General features: G+C 46.2%; 1 protein-coding gene across 19 annotated transcripts; it reads left to right on the forward strand.

The window, feature by feature from the left end:
- Positions 1–1,779: 1,779 nt before the first annotated feature.
- On the forward strand, positions 1,780–22,633 carry NPIPB8 (nuclear pore complex interacting protein family member B8). Of its 19 annotated transcripts, none has more exons than XM_047434563.1 (10): positions 2,285–2,369; positions 5,229–5,567; positions 7,597–8,266; positions 8,457–8,544; positions 12,024–12,206; positions 15,846–15,945; positions 16,058–16,253; positions 20,352–20,412; positions 20,522–20,704; positions 21,917–22,633. In XM_047434563.1, the coding sequence occupies exons 4-10, from the start codon at positions 8,479–8,481 to the stop codon at positions 22,517–22,519; spliced, it is 1,392 nt and encodes a 463-aa protein (XP_047290519.1). In that variant the 5' UTR covers positions 2,285–2,369; positions 5,229–5,567; positions 7,597–8,266; positions 8,457–8,478; the 3' UTR covers positions 22,520–22,633. The 19 variants fall into 19 exon arrangements, with proteins under 19 accessions (XP_047290521.1, XP_047290515.1, NP_001372851.1 ...); XM_047434568.1 differs by having other exon boundaries at positions 20,522–20,557; XM_047434564.1 differs by having other exon boundaries at positions 7,597–7,873.

Genomic DNA, 25,296 nt, shown 5'->3' on the forward strand with positions numbered 1-25,296 from the left:
ACAGGTCACTATTAAAAGAGTATTCATTTAACCAGAGACTTCCAAAGCAATACAGAAACTTACATGGATATAAAAACCTTAACCCTTTTAAAGCTCAGTTTTGCTAAGTGATCAAAAGGGGTACTTGAATTGAATTGACACAGGAAGAGTGTGTACAGGGTTATGAGTGTAGGCAGATGGTTACTTTGGTCATATCTCCATTTGCCACCTGATTACACATGAGAATGGCATCTTTACTCACCAGAAAGCCTGTATTATAGGAGGTGTAGGAGGCATTCTTGGACTTGAGACAAGAACATTGTTGTGTAGAAATTTCATTGACTGTGTTAAAATTATTCTCCATGGGCTGGAGAACACATAACATGGCCTTTAGAATGAGATGGGCATTGATTGGATGCAAGGTGTCCACACTTACTAGCCGTGTGACATTGGACAAAGTGCTTCATCATTCTGAGACTCAGTTTTTAAAGGAAAAACAACTAACTACCTTGCAAGCTTGCTAGCAGGTTTAAGTGTAATAATGTGTGGGAATGACTGCACCATGACTAACACGTAGTGACGGCTTAATTAATGTTAACCCTTATCATTATCATGTAAGAATGTGAGTTGCATAAGAGAGGAATCCTGTCAGTTCGTTCTCTGCTGTGTCCCCAAGACCATGAATCATGGCTGGCACGTAGTAGGCTTTTAATAATATTTGTTCAACAAGTATTTGGCAGTCTTGGAGGGCAGAAAAGGAGGTGGGGAAGATTTTTAAATAACATTTTTTAAAAAGTCACATTGTCCTACAATATCGATTTTTCTTGCATATTTAGGAAATTGAGGGTTTTTTCCTAAAACATGCGGACATATGGGAAATATGATCCAACATTTGCACTAATGTTTCAGACACAGTTAGAGGTTTCCAAGAGATTTTGTGCTGGGGAGGCTGCTTGCTACAAGCTCCCAAAGCTCTGGGAGGACATAGTATTCATTCCTCCCTCAGCAGAAGCGGTGAGGCAAGAAGCTCTGGGGAGCACCCAGCCTTGGACTTTTAGCATAGTGTGTCAGGTCTTCATAGTTTGGGCCCAGGGCACAGAGAAGTCACAGCTCTCTGGCATCCTGTGACCTTTACCCTCTTTGCCAAGGGAAAATGTGGCCCACCAAAGCAAGAAACTTGAGGGCATGGGTCACCCCAGCCCTGGCATCTGCCCAGAGCCCGAGAAGGAAGGAACAATGATCCTCCAGCTACCTCACAGGGCTGGCACAGGTGACCACTGCCCTGGCATCACCCAGCTGTGTCCGGCAGCCTGAACCCCATCTGTGGGGATGCGAGGAGGAAAATACAAAAGTCCTTAGGTGAGCACTGAGAAGGCAGATGCAGCAGAAACCACCAGGCCGGAACTACCCAGTCTTGGACCTATGGTGGAGACAGAGCATAGCTGGCGATCATGTGTACTTACACTCTAAGGTCACCTGGTTGCACTATGGCCTCATCTGTGGCTCTGAAAATGAAGATTTGGAAGGAGATCATCACAGCTAATGTTTAAGAAGCCCCTCCTGTGTGCCAAATCATTCACCCGTCACCACAACCGAATGAGCTAAGGATTCTCATTATATATAGTTTATGGAGAGGGAAGTGCAGACATAAAGAGGTGAATTATCTTACCCAGATCACACAGCTGATAAGTGGTGGAGGCAGAATAGAATCTAAACAGTGTAGAATCTAAACAGAATAGAATCTAAACATGCATTGATTTGACAAGTGTTTATTGAGCACCTGCCATGAACAAGGCCTTGTGTGATTAAATAGGGTTATAATTAGTAATATAAAAATGAGAAATCACTAATGCTTTTTAGACTTAACATTTTCTTTTTTGTAGGTTTCAGGCACAGAACTGTATATCCAATAATAGTGAAATGGATCCCACTAATTATGACAGAAATGATGATACATTTAAATGACTTGGATGTTTTATAGGTATGATCTCATGAAACCTTGAGAGAAACTGAATGACGAATGAAACTATTGTTCCTGTTTCACACAGAAGAAAACTGAGGTTAAAAGGGGTAAAGTAATTTTGCATGGCATGAAGTAGAAATTCAAAGTACAGGAATTTGAACTTGGTTCTGTCCTTTTCTGAAGCCCCTATGCTCTTGACCACTATAGACTCAAACATCACCTTGTTTTTCCACTCATTCAACAAACTTTTTTTCTTAATTGTCTAATAGGTTGGCACTCATCATGAGCCCCTGTTCTCATTCTGCAAATGGTGAAGCTCTCTATTGTCCTGACCCCACAGTTCCTGTCCCATGACCAGGGCCAGCTCACCAAGGAGCTGCAGCAGCATGTAAAGTCAGTGACATGCCCATGCGAGTACCTGAGGAAGGTGAGTGAGTGCAGACAAGATGGGGCCTGGTGCCCTTGAGCAGTTCCCGGGTCTCAGCTGCCACACATCTCATAGCGGGTGATGCTGGGGGAAGCTTACGCAGTCACAGTACTGGCTTCTTCCTCTTTTTCTTTCCATACAAGTGGCTTAGGGATGGGGTAAAGTAGTTGACTTATTTGGATGAAAACCACTATCTTCTGTCAGAAACTCAAAAGGAATCATTGCTGGCATGGTAACCTAAAGAAAAACAACCAGACAAGTGCCCAACGACACTTAAAAAGTTTATTTATTATCTTGCCAAGTTTAGGCTGGGCATGGTGACTCATGCCTGTAATCCCAGCATTTTGGGAGGCTGAGGCTGGTGGATCACCTGAGGCCAGGACTTCAAGACCAGCCTGACCAATATGGCAAAACCTCGTCCCTACTAAAAATACAAAAATTAGCCGGGCATGGTGGTGTGAGCCTGTAGTCCCAGCTACTCAGGAGGCTGAGACAGGAGAATTGCTTAGATTCAGGAGGTGGAGGTTTTAGTGGGCCAAGATCACGCCATTGCACTCCAGACTGTGCGACAGAGCGAGACTCTGTCAAAAAAAAAAAAAAAAATTATCCTGCAAAATTTGAAAAGGAAATTCAAATCAACAGCTTCTAAACTACTTTTTAACATGACTCATAATAAGAAATACATTCTATAGTACATATATATGTTCTATAATTTTGAATAAAAGAATTAACCACATCACATTTATTTTACAACATGTAATACATATTTTTTATTCTCCTTCATTTGTTTTGAATGCTCTGTGCAGTCTACAAAAAGTCCAATAGTAATAATTAAATTAGTCATTAAGTTGAACATTATCTTGTCTTTTAAAATAATAATCTCAAAAATGATCTTTTATTTTTGAGATTTATATAGATACACACACACACACACAGACACACACACAGACACACACACACACACATATATATATATTTTTTTTTTTTTTTTTTTGAGACAGAGTTTCACTCTGTCCCCCAGGCTGGAGTGCAATGGCACAATCTTGGCTCACTGCAACCTCCGTCTCCCGGGTTCAAGCAATTCCTCTGCCTCAGCCTCTGAGTAGCTGGGACTACAGGTGTGCACCATCATGCCCAGCTAATTTTTGTATTCTTAGTAGAGATGGGGTTTCACCATATTGGCCAGGCTCGTGTCAACTCCTGACCTCGTGATCTGCCCACCGTGGCCTCCCAAAGTGCTGGGACTATAGGTGTGAGCCGCTACACCCCGTCCAAGATAAAATTATTTTAACAATATACTATGAAGAGAAAAACACTGGCTATGAAAGAATATGCATAGTTTTACCCTGTTTAAAAATAAAGATTGAAAGAATACATATGCAAATAAGTTTACTTTTATTTTTGGTAACACTTTACTGCATTGTCTGAATATTGACAATCAGTATGCATCATGAAGCTACATGGCTAACATTGTGTACTCACTGTGTGTGCCAGGCCCTGGGTTCAATGCTCTACATGCACTTATATTTCATTTAATTCTCTCTGCAACCTGAGATGGTATAGCCACCTCATTTTACAGAGTTGAAACTGAGGCTCAGAGACTGAAAGTTAAGCCTGAGGTTACAGTCAATAAGAGGCAGAGCTGGAACTGAAACCTATGTGTGTCTGACCACCAGTTCATGTTCTGACGGCAGGCTAGTCTGCATCACAGAGTGTGGGGTAGATGGTGCATGCCTGCTAGGATGGGCTAGGTATCACTGTAGGTAAGAAACAGCCCCAAACGATGGAAATGTACAAAATGTACACCACTGAAGGCTCTTTTCCTGCCCATGCTGCACATCCTCCATGGCTCTCCTGTGCCCTGTGCCCCACATGCCCTCATCCTGCCACGAGAATAAAGGAGCAGCCTCCATATAGGAGCTGTCAGTTGCTCCAAGAGATGAAGGAGAGAGTGGCCAGTCTCAATGGCTCCCAACTCTTTTGCCTCGAGGTGACACGCTTCACTTCCACTCACATCTCCTGGGTCAAAGCAAATCCCATGGGTACATCCACTTTCAAGTGGCCCAGGAGAGAACCTGAAATACTTGGTGGACTCCATTAAGACCGTCATATGGTGTCAGCCTGCATGGGAGACTGTGGAGGGGCAGAGGAAGAGAGTGGGGAACTGATGGGAAATGACAGGAGGACTAAGTCACCGCAGATTTGCTTTATCTTCAGCCAGGTGGAGTTTGTCCCAGAGCTGCACAAAATCATCACCAGCATGATTAAACGGAGTAGACTTCAGAAAAAGCAGTTTGGTCGAATGTAATCAGCAGTGAACTCAGAATCAATTGAGTGACATTGAGTCAGTAAATCTCTGACTGCCTCAGTTACCCCATATGATAGTTTTGAGGATGGGAACATTGAGAGAGTTGATTTGGAAGGATATCAAGAGTAAAAATTCCAACATTTTAGTTCCTTTAAGTTAAATCCAGGCACTGTCTTTCCTGCAAGTCTCCTGTTCCTTTCAGATTGCACAGGTGAGAGTGCTCAGATTAGGGCTGGAGGTTGTAAACTATTGCTCCCACACTGACAGTGCCCCTGTGTCGTGCATGTATTCTGTGCATTTTCCTGTGCTAAACACTCTCCCAAAACATCATGGGGCCTGATTCTTCCTCTTTGTTCCAATGGCCCTGGGTGACTCAAGTGCCCATTCAATGACCAGGACACAGAGGTCTTAGAGAGATGCTCCATGAGGCCCCAGGTGTGAGCCTGTACCCTGCCGGAGCATGAGGCAAGGGACAGGGCATCATCTGTGGGGATAGTGGGGGTAGTGGGGGTAGTGGTCAGCCAGACTTGGTGACTCTACTTGCTCACCAGATGATCCTACACCTGCCACCTCCGATGGATCCACTGCCTCTGTGCCTGACTGTACTGCTGATGCTCCAGTGGATAACTCAGCATCCCAGCCTAGGCCCAATGCCACTGAAGATGGACCTGCACCCTGGGGACCCAGGAGTCCTACCACTCAGCTATCCCCAGGAGTGCCCAGACCCTCATTCTTATCCAGGACCTAGGAGCCCTACCTTCTGGCCTTCCCTCATCAGCCGTAAATGATGATTTACTGCTGTTACCATCATCACTGCCTTCAGTGACCAAGGGCCTTCCAAGGTGCCAGCTCTGGAACGAAAGATGCCCTTGGGAGGTGATGACACTCAGGTACACGGGTGCTCAACAGATTGCTTCCTCCTATCCTCAGACGGTCTTTGCATGCATGCAGCCATTGGCACTCCCATTGTATGGAAGGAAACCAGCCCAGGGTCACACAGCTGGTCAGCAGCAACATAGCTGGTCTCAAATCTAAGGTGCCTGGCCATGCCTCCATGAGGGACCGCCTGCAAGGGAGGTTGATCCTGGCTTTGGGGAGCCTTTCCTGGGCTGCACGAATAACCTCCATTGTTCGAGACCCCAAACTCTGCTCACATCTTCCTTTCCCTGTCTCTGCTTGGGCTATGATCACGGTGACTCTAGCAACCCTTCATGGACATTATAGTACTCTCTGCCATTCACTTTTGCTCTAATCTGACTTCAACCCCCACTTACTTGGTCTCTCCTTTTATAACCAACACAACCGAAATCTAGGGCTTCTTTTTTTTTTTGAGACAGAGTCTCATTCCATTCTGTCACCCAGGCTGGAGTGCAATGGCACGATCTCGGCTCACTGCAACCTCCGCCTCCCGGGCCCAAGGGATTGTCCTGCCTCAGCCTCCTGAGTAGCTGGGATTACAGGTGTGTGCCACCATGCCTGGCTAATTTTTGTATTTTTAGTAGAGACAGGGTTTCACCATGTTGGTCAGGCTGGTCTCGAACTCCTAACCTTGTGATCCACCTACCTCAGCCTCCCAGAGTGCTGGGATTACAGGTGTGAGCCACCATGCCCAGCCAAATCTAGGGCCGGAACATGGCTGCAGCATATAAAAAGAATTGAATTCCATAGTTTTGTAAACCCTGTTTTTTGTTTGTTTGTAGTTGTTGCTGTTTTTGAGACAGAGTCTCGCTCTGTCGCCTAGGCTGGAGTGCAGTGGTGCAATCTCGGCTCACTGCAGACTCTGCCTCCCGGGTTCAAACTATTCTCCTGCCTCAGCCTCCCAAGTAGGTGGGACTACAGGTGCCCACCACCACACCCGGCTAATTTTTATATTTTATTAGAGACAGGGTTTCACCATATTGGCCAGGCTGGTCTGGAACTCCTGACCTTGTGATCCGCCCACCTCGGCCTCCCAAAGTGCTGGGATTACAGGCGTGAGCCACCACACCCAGCCCCTGTTTTGTTTTTGTTTTGCTTGTTTCTTAGGGTTGTTTTTCTATTTATGGTAAAGGCATTGGCTTTCCATTTGTAGCATCAATAGAATATTTCCTGTTCACAATAACCTTATGTCATAGTAAATGGTAAAGGGATTTAAAGCAGTGGTTTTCAGCTGCCAGAGGCCTGAGAGAGTTTGGGCATACTCTGTGTGATCGGGCGGAAGGCCTGTGGGAAGTTTAGCTGAGGACAGGGCCAGGAAAGGTGATAGACAGTGGGGGTCTGTCCTGGTCACCAGACCCCTGGGTCCTGCCCACCTGCTTGGAGCTCCCCACCCATCACACATGATGCTGCCAAGCCCTCTGGGTATTGTGGGCAAATACCTTAGGAGAGAAGCTGATGAACTTTGTTTCTTGAAATGCACAGATTCCTTGGACATCCCTGAGAGGTCAATCATGAAGGTCAACTTGGTTTTCTCCCCCTCATTTGGGTTCAGAATTTAAAGTCCACACACACAGGCAGTAAGATGATTATAGATAAGGACATCATCACTCGGTTTCGGATGTTAAATTGTCTAGGTGGGTTAGGGGTGATTTGAGATCACACAACCTTGTGCCACAAAGAGGAATTCCCAGGCCAGAGGGAGACATTTTATTGCCATGTTATGATCTTATCATTGAGTTGAAAGGCAATCTTGTTTCATTTTGGATTCTTTCTTATGTTTATGTCTTATAAGGGCACTTTGAATTTCCAAGCAAATAATAATTTTGAATTAGCTTTTAATCATTGACTTCTAGCACAGTTATATGATCAGAAACGTGCTGTGTGATTTGATTGCTCTCAAATATATTGAGATTTGCTGGAACAAAATAAGTCAGGTTAATTTTTGTAAATGTACCATGCTTGCTTAAAATGAATGTATCTACATTTGTTCCTGAGATACAGGTTGATGGACGGATGGCTACATGGATGTGATGGAGATGGTTTACTATCGGGACCTTCCGCATCCTGCTGATGTTTTGTTGCTTAGGATATGAATGGCTGAGCGGAGGCTGTAAAACCTGGCACTCTGCTTGGGTATGAGGTTCTTCCTGCCATCCTGCCATCATTTGTTTTTTATGTTTTGTCGCCAAAAGTGACCTTGAGGAACCCTGGGAGCTCAGGAAGGAAGGAGCGCCCAGAAGCAGGGACAGGGAGCTGGTTGGGGAGGACCAGAAATCAGGTTTGTGAAGGTTCCAGAGAGGACCTGTCCTTGCGAGGAGTGTGGGAGACTGAGATGGGGGAGGGGTCATTGGAATGATGCGGGCGCTACTTGGCATTGTCCATTGTGAGGCACCACCGGGGTCATCAGGGATTGGTGGAGAGGGAGTATAAAGCCCCAGGTTTGCTAAGGGAGGGCCCAGACCGAAGAAGGTTTGGCAGATAGCAGAACCTTTTTGTCTCCCTCTCATTGCTCCTAAGCCTCACGCTCCCTTGTCCCGCGTGTCCTGTTGCTTCCCTGATCTTCTCCGTGACCTGTAGCTAAACCTTCCACCAGCGCTTGAGAACTTAATTTGAACCGGATCCTTTCCCAGACCCCTTTCTTCTTCTCCTCCTCCTCCTCCACCTCCTCCAGGTGCCCAACAGCCCCCTTCTCTTCCTTTCCCTTCCCTTACTTCCCCCCTTCCCCTCCCCCTCCCCTCCCCCTCCCCCTCCCCTCCCCCTCCCCCTCCCCTCCCCCTCCCCAACTCAGATCCGGCCCATTCCCCGTCCCCTTCCCTCCCCCCTGCCCTAAGCCACCTCCACCTCTGTCCTGGACACCTCAGGGCGCCCTGAAAGGACCAGGACATGCGGCTGCGCTTTTGGCTCCTCATTTGGCTCCTGCTGGGATTTATCAGCCATCAGCCCACCCCTGTGAGTAGACGCTGGACCCGCGGGGTTTCTTCCTTTTTACTGGGCTGTGTCACGCGGCATGAAATTACACAGCTCAGGCCTGTAATCCCAGCACTTTAGGGGGCCGAGGTGGGCAGATCACTTGAGTCCAGGAGTTGAAGACTAGCCAGGGCATCATGGCGAAACCCCATCTCTACAAAAAATTCCAAAAAAGATTAGTCGGGCCTGGTGGTGCGTACCTGTTATCCCAGTTACTGGAGAGGCTGAGGTGGGAGGATCGCTTGGGCCGAGGAGCTGGACGTTGCAGTGAGCTGAGATGGCCCCGCTGCACTCTTGTCTCTAACAAACAAAATGGACCAAAACAAAGTGAAATGTCATTTGATTTGTGTCATCTGGTTTGATGACTTTTTTTTTTTTTTTTTTTTTTTAGACAGAGTCTCATTCTGTCGCCCAGGCTGGAGTGCAGTGGCAAGATCTCGGCTCACTGCAACCTCCGCTTCCGGGGTTCAAGCAATTGTCCTGCCCCAGCCTCCTGAGTGGCTCAGATTACAACGCCTGGCTAATTTTTGTATTTTTAGTAGAGACGGGGTTTCACCATGTTCGCCAGGATAGTCTCCATCTCTTGACCTCGTGATCCGCCTGCCTCGGCCTCCCAGTGCTGGGATTACAGGCGTGAGCCACCGCGCCTGGCCAAAATATATAACCTTAAGTGTAAGTTTACTAACTTTGGAAAGTACTTACACCAGCATAAACCGACCCCCTTTCAAGATCTACATTATTTTATTTATTTATTTATTTATTTGAGACAGTTTCTCCCTTGTTGCCCAGGCTGGAGTGCAATGGGGCAATATCAGCTCACCGCAACCTCTGCTTCCCAGGTTCGAGCGATTCTCCTGCCTCAGCCTCCCGGGTGGCTGGGATTACAGACATGTGCCACCACTCCCAGCTAATTTTGTATTTTTAGTAGAGATAGGGTTTCTCCATGTTGGTCAGGCTGGTTTTGAACTCCCGACCTCAGGTGATCCGCCCGCCTCGGCCTCCCAAAGTGTTGGGATTACAGGCGTGAACCACCGTGCCCAGCCAAGATCTACACTATTATGTCACCCCAGAAAGTGAACTCTCACTCTTCCCAGCCAGTCTCTTTCTTATCATAGGTTAGCTTGCTTATTCTGGAATTTCGCGTATACAGATGCGTGCCATGCCATAGGTACTCTTTTGTGTCTGCTTTATTCTGCTCAACACCATGTTTCTGAAATCATTACCATTGTTGTATGGTTCTCTAACTCCATCATTTCCATTTCAGACTCAGCATATGCTGAGTTCAACCTGTTGAAGGGCTATCTCTGTTTAATTCACCATCTTGAAAGAAACATTTAAAATTGAGATGTTTTCAAGAATATACAGTTAAATCCTGAGGAATCGATGTAGAAATGTTATCACAAGCTGTCTGAACTTACTCAGGGGAAGTCTTCGTCTTCACTCACATAAGAGTCTACTGGAATTAATATCAACAATCTTAGAGAAATCCCACACTATTCATGCCATTTTCATGATCTCCACCTTGGTAATTTTTTTTTTTTTTTTTTTTTTTTTTGAGACAGAGTCTCGCTCTGTCACCCAGGCTGAAGTGCAGTGGTGCGATCTCGGCTCACTGCAACCTCTGCCTCCCGGGTTCAAGTGATTCTTCTGCCTCAGCCTCCCAAGTAGCTGGAACTGTAGGCACGTGCCACCATGCCCTGCTAATTTTTTGTAATTTTAGTAGAGATGGGTTTCACCGTGTTAGCTAGGATGGTCTCAATCTCCTGATCTCGTGGTCCACCCACCTCGGCTTCCCAAAGTGCTGAGATTGCAGGCGTGAGCCACCACACCCGGCCCACCTTGTTAATTTTTAAGCACTAAAATTTGATACTTATTTGTGAATGAAGTAATCTCTTCATTGTATTTTTTTTTTTTTACTTATGCTGAGCTTCAAATGACAAAGATTCATATAATCCAAGAGAGAAGTATTATTTAGAGGGATTCTTTTACCATGTGATATATAATAAATGCATCCAATGTTATACATCAATTTAAAAAACAAGTAAATAACTTTAAAGAAAAGATAACTACTGGCCAGGTGCAGTGGCTCACACCTGTATTCCCAGCACTTTGGGAGGCCGAGGCAGGTGGATCAAGAGGTCACGAGTTGGAGACCAGCCTGGCCAAGATGGTGAAACCCTGTTTCTACTCAAAATACAAAAATTAGCCGAGTGCGGTGGCAGGCGCCTGTAATCCCAGTTACTCAGTAGCTGAGGCAGGAGAATCGCTTGAACCCGGGAGGCGGAGGTTGCAGTGAGCTGAGATCATGCCACTGCAATCTAGCCTGGGTGACAGAGCAAGACTTTGTCTCCAAACAAAAAGAAAAGATAATTACTTTATACTTAGCTTGTCTTAGCCATGAGTGACGGGCTGCATGTGGCCCAGGACAGTTTTGAATGCAGTTCAACACAAATTTGTAAACTTTCTTAAAACATTAGGAGATTTTGGCCAGGTACAGTGGCTCATGCCTGTAATCCCAGCACTTTGGGAGGCTGAGGCGGGCAGATTACCTGAGGTCAGGAGTTCGAGACCACCCTGGCCAACATGGCAAAACCCCATCTCCACAAAAAATACAAAAATTTGCTGAGTGCATTGTCAGGCACCTGTACTCCCAGCTACTCAGGAGGCTGAGGCAGGAGAATCACTTGAACCTGAGAGGCCGAGGTTGCAGTGAGCCGAGAGCACGCCACTGCACTCCAGCCTGGGTGACAGAGTGAGACCCCATCTCAAAAACAAAACACCAAACAAAAACAAAAACAAAAAAAAATGGCTGGGCACGGTGGCTCACACCTGTAATCCCAGCACTTTGGGAGGCCGAGGCAGGTAGATCGCCTGCCAGGAGTTCAAGGCCAGACTGGCCAACATGGTGAAACCTCATCTCTATTAAAAATACAAAAATGAGTCAGGCATGGTGGCAGAGACCTGTAATCTCAGCTACTCGGGAGGCTGAGGGAGGAGAATGGCTTGAGCCCAGGAGCTGGAGGTTGCAGTGAGCCGAGATTGCACCACTGCACTCCAGCCTGGGCGACTGAGTGGAGCGGAACTCTGTCTCCAAAAAAAAAAAAAAAAAGAGTTTTTTTTTAGATCATCAGCTATTGTTAGTGTTAGTGTATGTTATGTGTGGCTCAAGACAACTTTGTTTCTTTTAATATAGGCAGGGAAGTGAAAAGATTGGATATCCCTGCTTTATACCAAGAAAGACAACACCCCACATTTGCAATGCCTAAAAACACTACCAGCCATCTGAAAAACATGAGACTTCTAACTTCTGTTCTTTTTTGTAGCAGTGGAATCCCATGGTGATATCTGAGGGATGTGGTTACCTTTTGGAGGAGGTTGACGGTTTCTAAGGATGATTCTTTCTGAGTGAAATATTGTCGGTGTCATTGACCTTTTCATTATTTCAACTATTATTATTCCAGGTTATCAATAGTCTGGCTGTCTATCGTCATCGTGAGACTGACTTTGGTGTAGGAGTTCGAGACCACCCTGGCCAACATGGCAAAACCCCATCTCCACAAAAATTGGATAATTTGATAATTATCATTATTGGGTTTCTGAGATGTTACACATTTAACATTCTCTTCTGCACAAGTTGCCTTTGTGTGAGTATACTAACTTTCTGTAGAGGTATACTTGTAATCACAAATAAGAATAAATTATATAAAACAATTCACGTTTCTGGACTTCATTATGAATATGTGGTTTTACCCAAAAAATCAGGGAAATGATTTATTAGCATAAGAATTATGAAAATGTCTGCCATTTACATTATGAAAATTAAATAGGTCGGTGTTTGTTTAATAGAATGTCAACAGAGCTTTTGGTCAAAAATAAGTTTTTTTAGCCTTTGTGCTATTTATCACAAATGGAGTATGAGGTTTCGTCACTTAAATAGGAAATTCTTTCTAAACTCTTCTGCTTTATAGTTCTATCGTATGGGTGGAAGGAAAGCTTCCAATCTCCTCTCTGAAGATTCACTGCAGAAATGAGCTGACAACAGACAGCTTAACAGGAAAAGAAAAACATAGAACAGGCATAAACATGGGAACCAGCTGAAAAATGAGACTGCTAGAAGGGCCGGATGGTTGATGCTTAAAGAGCACCCTCTTCTGAGGGGAGAGGGAGATAGATGGAGATGTAGGCCATTTAGAGGGGCAGCAAATGATTTTTAGGGGAAATGAAAGAGGCCAAGGAACAAACAATTGGCCTGAGACAAAGTTCCTCTGAGGTCATAGGGACGAGGTGACAAACTGCCGGAAGGTGAAGGGCAGAACTGCACTGCGTCTCATGATGCAGAGAAAGCCCCAGAGAATCTCTTAGAACTGCCCTCCAAGAGAATCAATGAAAAGTGTGTCTGGGCAGGGTAATTTTGAATGACATCATTCAAAGTGCATGTTCCCACTTGCAACTGGAGAGAGATCAGTATGTCAAAAGTCTGTACTTGGTAAGAATTTGGCTGCTAAGTTGTGCCATAATTTGTCTTTTGAGCCTTTTTTCCTTTGGGTAAGTTGAGCTCTACATTTTGTCTTGCCATTCATGACAGTAAAAATGTGGTTGTCTGGGGGCTGAACCTCCTTCTGAACAATGATCCAAGATAAAAGTACTAATACCACAATGCTTTTTTATATTCAAGGGAAGAGGAAGTATGTTTCAGTTTTACCACCTAGATAATTACACGTCATTTGGCACTGCCTTTCAAGATATGTAGAAAACAGAAAATATATGAGTTATGAAGATATCTAGGCACACTTAACATTCTCTATGCCACTTAGTCCTGAACAGAGAATTTTTGGTATAAATTGGAGGAAGCTTTTTTTTTTTTTTTTCCTTTTCTCACCCCCGAGACGAGTCTCCCTCTGTTGCCCAGGCTGGAGTATAATGGTGTGATCTCGGCTCACTGCAACCTCCACCTCCTGGCTTCAAGCGATTCCCCTGCCTCAGCCTCTCAAGTAGCTGGGATTACAGGTGCCCACCACCATGCCCAGCAAATTTTTGTATTTTTAGTAGAGTCGGGGTTTTACCATGTTGGCCAGGCTAGTCTCAAAACCCGACCTCAAATGATCCACCCGCCTCAGCCTCCCAAAGTGCTGGGATTACAAGCGTGAGCCACCACGTGAGCCAGGGGAAGTTTTTAAACTTACCACTTTTTAACAGTTCCATTTAGGAAAGTTCAGTTGAGCTGCTGGACTTGGACAACTTCGCACCTCTCATCTTTGTCCTTGTCATCTAGTCATCTATACCATTACCTCCTAAGCAGGGACATCATGGGTGCCATGAAGCATTCATGCGTGATGGCATTTCTTTGCTTGTCATTTCTTCATGTGTTTGACATTTCTCCTAGCTCCAAACTGGGCCAGCTACCTTTCCTGTGAAATCTAGTAGTAGCTGTGGGATTGACGTGGTTGCTCTTTTCATCTTTTTAGATTACCCATTGCTTCTCTCGAAATCCTAGTACATGATTTTTTTTTTTATCCTATGTGCAGAAATCAGGAAAAAACAAATTCTACAAAGAATTTGAAAGATATTATTTCAGGCCAGGTGTGGTGGCTCATGCCTGTAATCCCAGCACTTTGGGAGGCTGAGGCAGGTGGATGACTTGAGGTCAGGAGTTCAAGACCAGATGGGCCAACATGGTGAAACCCCATCTCTACTAAAAAGACAAAAATTAGCCAGGCATGGTAGCAGGCACCTGTAATCCCAGCTACTTGGGAGGCCGAGGCACAAGAATCGCTTGAATCTGGGAGGTGGAGGTTGCCGTGAGCCAAGGTAGTGCCACTGCACTTCAGCATGGTTGAGAGTGACACTCCATCTCAAGAAAAAAGTCATTTCAATGACTACCTCAGGAGATTCATAGGTATCTGACCCACATCTGAGATGGGATTTGCATTGCATTTTCGCTATGATGAGAACAAATATTTAATATCTTAGAAGATTAAAAGCATACTGTGATAATATGGAAATCTTGGTGGGAATTCAGTCATTAGTGAGAATGTTTTGCGTTAAGTTCAAACCAGCCTCAATGAAGCTGATGTGAGGGAAGGGAAAGTGAACTCTGAGTAGAGCAGGGACAGAAGGAAGATGCTCCAGTGCAGATCAGGAAGGAGCAGGGGGTGAAATGTTACAAATTCTAGAACTCAGAGAGCTGAAGGTAATTACTTCCTTTTCAAGTTGTGAAACATGTTAACCTGTGGTAAAATACTTATAAGATGATAATTACCATCTAACCGTGTTGAAGTGTACAGTTCAGTTGTGTGAAGTATATTCATGTCATTTTTTTTTTTTTTTTTTGAGACGGAGTCTCACTCTGTCACCAGGCTGGAGTGCAGTGGTGGGATCTTGGCTCACTGCAACCTCTGCCTCCTGGGTTCAAGCAGTTCTCCTGCCTCAGCCTCCCGAGTAGCTGGGACTACAGGCGTGCATCACCATGCTCAGCTAATTTTTGTATTTTTAGTAGAGACGGGGTTTCACCATGTTGCCCAGGATGGTCTCCATCTCTTGACCTTGTGATTCACCCGCCTCAGCCTCCCAAAGTGCTGGGATTATAGGCGTGAGCTACCGCACCTGGGCTATTTTTTTTTTTTTTTTTTTTTTTTTTGAGACAGAGTTTCAATTTTGTTGCCCAGGTTTGGAGTGCAATGGCACAATCTCAGCTCACCACAACCTTTTCCTGCTGGGTTCAAGTGATTCTCCTGCCTCAGCCTCCTGACTAGCTGGGACTACAGGCATGCACCACCATGCCTGGCTAATTTTGTATTTTTAGCAGAGACAGCGTTTCTCCATGTTGGTGAGGCTGGTCTCAAACTCCCGACCTCAGGTGATCCGCCTGCCTCGGCCTCCCAAAGTGCTGGGATTACAGGAGTGAGCCACCGTGCCAGCCTCATGTCATTCTTGTGTGTGTGTGTGTGTGTGTGTGTGTGTGTGTGTGTGTGTGAGAGACAGAGTCTCATTCTGTCGCTCAGGCTGGAGTACAGTGGTGTGATCTCGGCTCACTGCAACCTCCGCCTCCCAGCTTCAAATGGTTCTCTGCCTCAGCCTCCCGAGTAGCTTGGATTACAGGCGCCCGCTGCCATGCCTGGCTAATTTTTGTATTTTTAGTAGAGACAGGGTTTCACCATCTTGGCCAGGCTGGTCTTGAACTCCTGACCCCGTGATCCACCTGCCTCGGCCTCCCAAAGTACTGGGATTATTTATACGCATGAGCCACCGTGCCCAGCCGTCATTCTTATATTATTATTTCCTAGGTGTCTTTCCTGAAGACTATCTTCTGGTCTCGAAATGGACATGATGGATCCATGGATGTACAGCAGAGAGCCTGGAGGTCCAACCGCAGTAGACAGAAAGGTATGGCTCTGTTGGAGTCCCCATAGTGTGGAAATGAGTTTGCCCTGGAAAGGGAAAGAACAGCTTCTTGACCTCAGGTTTCTCACCTTCTCCTCTCCTCACTCTCACCAAGGGCTGAGGTCCATTTGTATGCACACAAAGAAAAGAGTTTCTTCCTTTCGAGGAAATAAAATTGGCCTGAAAGACGTCATTACTCTACGGAGGCATGTGGAAACAAAAGTTAGAGCTAAAATCCGTAAGAGGAAGGTGACAACGAAAATCAACCGTCATGACAAAATCAATGGAAAGAGGAAGACCGCCAGAAAACAGTAAGATGTGCCTTGACACAAATACTGTTGTATGAACCATGTGCCAATCAAAGTAGACAACTGTAAAGTCCTTGAGAATATTTTCTACAATATTTGTGGCAAATTCAGTGGGCTCAAAATTGAGTTTGTCCTTTCTGCTTCATTAGTTTAAGCTGTATAATTCCTTTCCCTTCCTACATTCTTGTTTGTAATTTTTTCGGGGGAAGAGGAGTTGCTAGTACTGGCATTGGTTTTCCTTTCTCTCTTTTTTTTTTTTTTTTCCTGAGATGGAGCTTTGCTGTTGTTGCCCAGGCTGTAGTGCAATGGCACAATCTCAGCTCACTGCCTTTTGGCTTCAAGCAATTCTCCTGTCTCAGCCTCCCAAGTAGCTGGGATTACAGGTGCCCACCACCATGCCCAGCTAATTTTTGTATTTTTACTAGAGATGGGGTTTCACCATGTTGTCCAGGCTGGTCTCGAACTTCTGACCTCAGGTAATCCACCTGCCTCAGCCTCCCAAAGTGCTGGGATTAGAGGTGTGAGCCACCACACCCAGGCTTTTTTTTTTTTTTTTTTTAATTTTGAGATAGAATCTCGCTCTGTCGCCCAGGCTGGAGTGCTATGGTGCAATCTTGGCTCACTGCAACCTCTGCCTCCCAGTTTGAAGCAATTCTGCCTCAGCTTCCTGAGTAGCTTGGATTACAGGTGTGTGCCACCACATTCGGCCAATTTTTTTTTTTTTTTTTTGAGACAGAGTCTCACTCTGTCACCCAGGCTAGAGTGCAGTGGCATGATCTTGGCTCACTGCAACCTCCGCCTCCCAGGTTCAAGTGATTCTTATCCCTCAGCCTCTTGAGTAGCTGGGACTACAGGCATATGCCACCATGCCCGGATAATTTTTGTATTCTTAGTAGAGGCATAGACTTAGTAGAGTAGTTCTAGACCATATTGGCCAAGCTGGTCTAGAACTCTGGACATCATGATCCACACACCTCGGCCTCCCAATGTGCTGGGATTACAGGCGTGAGCCACCGTGCCCGGCCCAATTTTTGTATTTTTAGTAGAGACAGGGGTTCACCATGTTGGCCAGGCTAGTCTTGAACTCCTGACCTCAGGTGATCTGCCTACCTCAGCCTCCCAGTGTGAGCCACCGCACCCAGCCTGGATTGTTGAATTCAATGCTTGGGTCACCTCCAGATTCATTTTCACAGTCTTTCATGTTTTGGTCATATTACATTGTATTTTGCTGCCATATGACTGATCTCTTTTTGTTAAATGTGAGATACTCGTTAAAAAATATTTAGCAATGAATTGAGGCCTAGTGGCATGTTATCTTGCTGCAGAAGAGATGGGAGTCTACTTCTGGGGGATGGTCACGGGTCCTCCATACAGGCTGCAATTGAGGTCATCGGTGCAGGCTCAGTCCCTACAAAGGCCAGGGTATTTCCTGTCCACCTCTATTCTGATGCATGACTCTTCTGGGTCTCAACCAGAGCCAGTGGACTTCAGTACGGGTCGCTTTCATTGGCAGACCCTCAATCCACTTGTTTTCCATCTAATCCCACGCATGTGTGCAAAAGCTGCTGTGCTTCTTTGCATCTCAGTAGTTCCTTCTGGAATTCAGCAATGAAACTCAGGGAAATGGGTTCCAAATGCGAGGCTGACTTTCGTCCTGGGTTTCCTTCTTCTCCATCTTCACCTCATGTCTGTTTACTGCCATGTTAGCAATTTGATGTATTCAATCATGGGTTTTATATTCTGTTTGGTGTCCCCCATTGTTCTCATCGGAGATCAGAAGCTTCAGATGCACTTATGTCAACTCAAGAGTAGAATGCTTCCTTAGCTTCCCTCCAGAGTCAGGTTTTGTGTTTCTAGTTCCCAAGTGGACAGCAGGAGTAGTGATGTCCTCACTGGCTTCTCATTTGCATTAAGCTGTGAGCTTCTTTACCGTGGGGACAGGACCCTGCTCCCATTGCATTCTCAGCACCACACCACACACTCCTTGTTGGAGGCCACTCCAGACAGCATGTGCTGAAGGATGCCCTGTGGTCAGAAACAAGTTCATTAACTTTCTCTTTGAAGTGTTTTCGCCCCTGTTTCCTAGCGTTCTGGGAATTTTACACATCCTTCCTATAAAACCAAGTATCAGGTGAGATCCTTAGGATCAGGACCATGAATCAAGTGGTGTGAGGGCAACACAGCAAACTTACCCTTTTTAGGCCATTTCCTTTTTCTGCCCTCAATGTCTGTGAAGTGAACCTTGTTAAAGTCAGTCAACACCAGGGTGGATGGTTTGCCGTTGTCACCTATTTTCAGGACATAACACCCTGACTTAGGAGCCATTCCGATCATTTCTAATTCAATAGATGCGCCCAGCATTCAGATTGCCTTTTCTCTCAACCAGGATCTTTAAAGTCGATGACAAGAGTTCCAGTCCTGAATCATGGCAAAGTGCAGTAGTGAACTGCGGGGTTAATGACACCATATTCTGGAAGGATCTCTCTATGGCTGATGGTCTCAGTTCTGGCATCAGCCTCTGACTGAGAAGCAGGTCTCACACAGGAAGAGTCAGATGAGGAGCAATCCTCTGCTTCCGATGGAGTTAGTTGTGATGAGTTGGTGAGGTCTGGTTTTTCACACTGAACTAAAATGATCTTTCGCTGTGTCAAGCACAAGACTGACCCCAGAGACACACATAGTGCACCTCATAGAAGCTTTTAATAGTCTTTATATTTACTAAAGAATAGGACTAACTATGGAACTATGAAGATGAGCTGGAAATGACAGGTGACTTGCCAGCAGGCCAGAGTGTGATTTTTTTTGGTCCCTCAATGGGAGGTGTCCATTCTCCCTTCGGTTGTGAGAATCAGTTGGTTCATTTGTGGGAAGGTTGCAGGGGGGATCTTTGAATCACAGCCTTCAGATGCCAGAAGGGCAGAGGGAATCCCACATGGACTGGTGGATCATGTGTGTGCATTTCTCTCCCTTCTAACCTGAGGAAACTAAGCATGAAAGAATGTGAGCACGCAGAAAAGGAGAGGCAGGTATCAGAGGCAGAGGAAAATGGGAAATTGGATATGAAAGAAATACACACCTACAAGTGAGTTCAGAAACTGAACCCCACCCTCCTGGGAAACGCCCATTGGAGTGCTGTTTTTAACCTCTGTACAATGTTTAGACCCAGTAAATGCAGAAATAGAAACAAACGGTCAGAAGACATATCGTGAGAGAGAGAGAGAGAGTTCACAAAACAGAAAACAAAGTACCTTAATATTTACCAGTGACCAAAAGATGTGAAGTAGCAAAACGGCTCCTGACCCCATTACCAGCTAGACTGTGTGGAAACTCGGTTCATACCAGCCATTCTAGGGGTGGGGTGAGTTGTTGTCATCCTTAGGAAAGTGTGTTGTTGTAGGATCAACCACATCCTTCAAAAGGACTATGCCTGTTTATAAGCCCAGCTGTTTCTGCCCTGTGAAACACGGTGAGGATATTAATACAAAGAGAATACAGCTTTATGATAAAAGATGCTCAATGAAGGATGAATTAGGGATATACTGAGAATGGGGAAGGAAACTATCATCTCAGAAGTCAACAGGCAGTAAGCAAGAGGAGGAATCAATACAGCAACAGTTTGGATCAGACCGTACAGTTTTTTTGTTTTTGTTTTTGTTTTTGTTTTTCTGAGATGGAGTCTCGCTGTGTCACCCAGGCTGGAGTGCAATGACGTGATCTTGGCTCACTGCAACCTCCGCCTCCCAGGTTCAAGTGATTCCCCTGCCTCAGCCTCCCGAGTAGCTGGGATTACAGGTGCCTGCCACCACGCCCGGCTAATCTTTTGTATTTTTAGTAGAGACGGGGTTTCACCGTATTAGCCAGGATGGTCTCAATCTCCTGACCTCGTGATCCATCCGCCTCGCCCTCCCAGAGTGCTGGGACTACAGGCATCAGCCACCGTGACCGGCTCAGACTGTACTCTTATAGCCATCTGAAATACGTTTTCTAGGTAGAGATAGATTGTGTAAGGGTACAGTTGTGAGGATAACAGAAACATGGCAGATTATTTAAAATCATCCTGAACGTGGTGCTTTATCTGATGAAAGTGATTGTAATCCATAGGAAAATGTTTCAACGTGCGCAAGAGTTGCGGCGGCGGGCAGAGGACTACCACAAATGCAAAGTAAGGAGCTTCCTCCCCGCAGTTGCAGGATAGTTCAGTGCTGATGCAGATGATGCCACGGCTCTTAGACTCTCTCAACATTCAATTTCTCATGTGTTGGCTTTTTCAGATCCCCCCTTCTGCAAGAAAGCCTCTTTGCAACTGGGTAAGTTTGTTTGTTTTCCTTGCTTTTGAACATAGTCTGCCAGGTCAGGACATGGATACATTTTTCTCCCTACAGCTCTGTGCTCAAGCCCTGCAGAGGGAGATGGCAGAGAGGAAGGCTGCCTACAGGCATCACAGTCCCATCCCTGTTGGTAACCGTGTTGTGCAAAAACACCTTCATCCCCACCCAGTGGGGCCCCTGATCTAAATTCAAAGTGTCAGAGGTTCCATATTTGTAATAGCAAATGGGCCCTGACTGTAAATTAGTGAAGAGTGAATGTAACTTATTACCCACAGGGACAATTCCAAATGAAGGCCTTAAATGATGCTCAGCTAAGCTGGTTCTTGTGTGGCCTCTGTACCTTCAAAAGCTGCCAAGTCCTATGATTACACGTGATGGGACTTGTACACTTGAAGTGAAACACAGTTTTAAAACTTGCTTTGTTTAGAATTCCCACCTCATTTTTCCATGGACAAAAGTATTCTTTATGTCCTAGTGCACTTACAATTTGGTATTACCTGGGAGTGAAAAGAAATATTACAGCCATGCCTAAGTGACTTCTTGAGGTGAGATTGTTCTGTCAGAAAACCCTCTCCCAGTTCCCCTGCAGCTCTTCAGGAATCCACATCTCTCCAGAGCTCTTTGTTCTCATGGGTGGCACCTCCAGAGTGAAGAAGTTCCTTTGTCAAGAAGGGAAACAGAGGGGAAATGAGAGGGTCCTGCAGGCAGAGCTGGAATCAACTTCCACTCTGCCTCTTGCAAGCTGTGTGACCCTGGGCACAATTTCTCCTTCCTCTGGAAACCTCTGTTTTCTTAGATTTGGAGCAGGGTGGTCACACTGACCTTGCAGAGTTCTGAGAGTCAGAGACAGAACATGAAAGGCCTGGAAAACATTCTCCAAAAAGAAGCTGCAACATGTGTGGACAATGGGCTTTTCATGCCTCTCTTACTGTCTCTTACTGTCTGTTGACCTGGTGCAAGAAACATGCTCTGGTGATGGCTGTGAGGGAGGAATGAGGATAGACATAGACACTCCTGTGTCTCAAACATGCTTCTTTATTACTCTGTTATGACTCTGTCTTCCCTGGGGCAGGACCCCAGCCTGCCTACATTTGCAGACAGACACAGTGGCATGTGGAGACAACAGTGTGTCCCAATGACTTTCCTTTACCCTCCAGCTGTCGGCAGTACTCAGTGGAAGGGTGATATTATGACACTGATACTGCTATTTTGAAACCTGGAGGATGGAAAGGTGCAAAAATCTATCACCAGCAACAGAAGGTGCAGACTGTGTTGGTGGTGGTAATTTTGTCCATCAAATGAATATGTGTGAAAACATTCCCTCCTTTGGCCCTACAGGTCAGAATGGCGGCAGCGGAGCATCGTCATTCTTCAGGATTGCCCTACTGGCTCTACCTCACAGCTGAAACTTTAAAAAACAGGATGGGCCGCCAGCCACCTCCTCCAACTCAACAACATTCTATAACTGATAACTCCCTGAGCCTCAAGACACCTCCTGAGTGTCTGCTCACTCCCCTTCCACCCTCAGTGGATGATAATATCAAGGAGTGTCCTCTTGCTCCTCTTCCACCCTCTCCTCTTCCACCCTCAGTGGATGATAATCTGAAGGAATGTCTCTTTGTCCCGCTTCCACCCTCTCCTCTTCCACCCTCAGTGGATGATAATCTGAAGGAATGTCTCTTTGTCCCGCTTCCACCCTCTCCTCTTCCACCCTCAGTGGATGATAATCTCAAGACTCCTCCCTTAGCTACTCAGGAGGCCGAGGTGGAAAAACCACCCAAACCCAAGAGGTGGAGGGTGGATGAGGTGGAACAATCGCCCAAGCCCAAGAGGCAGAGGGAGGCCGAGGCACAACAATTACCCAAACCCAAGAGGCGGAGGTTGAGTAAGCTGAGAACACGCCATTGCACTCAAGCCTGGGCAATAAGAATAAATCCGTAGGTCGAAAAAAAGAAAAAAATCAAAAAACAAAACAAAACCCACGCTCCAAAAACAAACTAACGAAGAATAAATAAATAATATAAAAATAAAATAAATACTGCAGTCCTTATGTTATTGCTTTGTTTCAATATCTGGTATGATTGCCTGAGGGACCTGAGGTTTTTAATTAATTGTAGGGTTTTTTTTTTAATCTTTAGAAGTGGTTGGTTATGTAAAATATTATTATTATTATTATTATTTTTTGAGACTGGGTTTTGCTCTGTCACCCAGGCTGGAGTGCAGTGGCTCGATCACAGCTCACTGCAGCCTCAACCTCCTGGGCTTCAAGCAATCCTCCTGCCTCAGCCTCCCAAGTAGCTGGGATCACAGATGTATGTGTGCCACCACGCCTGGCCAATGTTAAAAAATCCTTTAACTTTTTTGTAGAGATGCACTCCTGGACTCAAGCGATCCTCCTACTGGTCCCGACCACCAGCCTCTTTCTGATAAACATTTACACTGTTTATTATCTGATGCCATTTCTATCTTCTTCCTTGTCGTCCAGACATCAAAGAATTAGGTTTCTTCAGGGTTTTCTTTTTCAAGTCCTCATTGTTAAAGATCACTCACATTAGGGCCAGACACCACGACTCATGCCTGTAATCCCAGCACTTTGGGAGGCCGAGGCGGGCAGAGCACTTGAGGTGGGGAGTTTGAGACCAGCCCGGCCAACTTGGTGAAACCCCACCTCTACTGAAAAACATACAAAAATTAGCTGGGCGTGATGGTGCATGCCTGTAGTCCCAGCCACTTGGGAGGCTGAGGCATGAGAATCGCTTGAACCCAGGAGGCAGAGGTTGTAGTGAGCCAAGATCACATCAGCACACTCTAGCCTGGGTGACAGAGCGAGACTCTGACTCAAAAAATAAATAAAATAAATATCACTTACATTAGATATACCCAAGGGGTGTTCTATAGAGAGTTGGAAGCAGTGGTTATTGCAACAGGGGCACGGAAGTCATCTGGCTATGCCAGGGTGCCCAGGGGATACTCGGGGTGGGTGGCATGGTGCTGCTGGGGACTCATCGCACAGGACGCTCTGATTGACGCACTGCCAGGAGTAGCGCTCTGTCTTGGGGCTGCAGCCGGCCTCCTCAGCTCGAGTGTAACAACAGTCGTGGCCATGGCAGCACCTGCGGATGTCACATGGGCAGGACAGCAGGTGGGTGAAGCTCTCTCCTGGCCCTCCTCTCTTGCCAGGACCATGGGTGACTGAAGACCCCCAGGGAGGCACAGCATCCTCTTATCTAAGATTTTTTTTTTTTTTTTTTTTTTTTTTTTTTTTTTAAGAGACAGGGTCTTTCTCTGTCGCCCAGGCTGGACTGCAGAGGCACAATCATAGCTCACGGCAGCCTTGAACTCCTGGGCTCAAGCGATCCTCCTACTTCAGTGTCCCAAGTAGCTGAGACTACAGGCACACGCCAGCATGCCCGGCTGGTTTTTTAATTTGTATTTCCTTTGAGACAGCGTATCTCTCTGTTGCTCAGGCTGGGGTGCAATGGCTCCATCAGCTCACTTTAGCCTTGAACTCCCGGGCTCAAGTGATACTGCCACCTCAACTTCCCAAGTATGCTACTACAGGAACACAAACTCCTTTTTTAAATTTTTTGTGGATATGGGGTCTATGTTGCCTAGGCTGGTCTTGAACTCCCAGGCTCAAGCAGTCCTCCTACCTCAGCCTCTCCAAATGCTGGGATTACAGGTGGGAGCTACTGTATGCCTGGCCTTATCTAAGCTGTTTCCCTGAAAATCCCCGACTTCGATAATGATTCCATTGGCCCCACCATGCCCTGTCCTGCCTTCCTGGCTGTGCCCAAGCTTGGTCCCTGCCTGCCTGCCTCACTCTCTGGGTCTCGAGCTCCTGTGACACATGACTCCTCTCTCTTCCTGGAGTGATCCAAGCCCTGCCACTTCCTGACTTTGCCCACACTGTACCCTCTGCCTGGGGCAACTTCATGTCTGCCCATTGTCCCTTAGGCCTCAGCCCAGGCACAAGCCCCTGCCTCCGGAGGTCATCCAGGCCTCACCAGGCTACACCCTCTCGTAAAATTGGATTCCCTCCCTTCAGGGCAGGTTTATAATGAAATCCTCCTCAGAGGCCAGGTGCGGTGACACGCATCTGTAATCCCAGCACTTTGGGAGGCTGAGGTGGGAGGATCACTTGAGGCCAGGGGGTCGAGACCAGCCTGGGCAACATAAGAGAGACTCTTGTCTCTATAACAAATTTAAAAATTAGCTCACCAGGCCAGGCTCAGTGGCTCATGCCTGTAATCCCAACACTTTGAGAGGCCGAGGCAGGTGGATCACGAGGTCAGGAGTTCGAGAGCAGCCTGACCAACACGGCGAAACCCTGTCTCTACTAAAAATACAAAATTAGCCAGGCATGGTGGCACGCACCTGTAATCCCAGTTACTCGGGAGGCTGAGGTAGGAGAATTGCTTGAACCCAGGAGGTGGAGGTTGCGGTGAGCCAAGATCATGCCACTGCAGTCCAGCCTGAGCAACAGAGCAAGACTCTGTCTCAAGACAATAAAAACACACAAAAAATTAACTCGCCATGATGGCACATGCCTATAGTCCTAGCTACTTGGGAGGCTGACGTGGGAGGATTCCCTTCAGCCCAGGAGTTTGAGGCTGCAGTGAGCCACTATGATTGTGCCACTGCACTCTAACCTGGGCAAAAGCGAGACCCCAGGCTAGAGTGCATGATTTGGGGTCACTGCAACCTCCACCTCCCAG

Source organism: Homo sapiens, chromosome 16, assembly GCF_000001405.40.
Source record: "Homo sapiens chromosome 16, GRCh38.p14 Primary Assembly".
Classification (NCBI taxonomy): domain Eukaryota; kingdom Metazoa; phylum Chordata; class Mammalia; order Primates; family Hominidae; genus Homo; species Homo sapiens.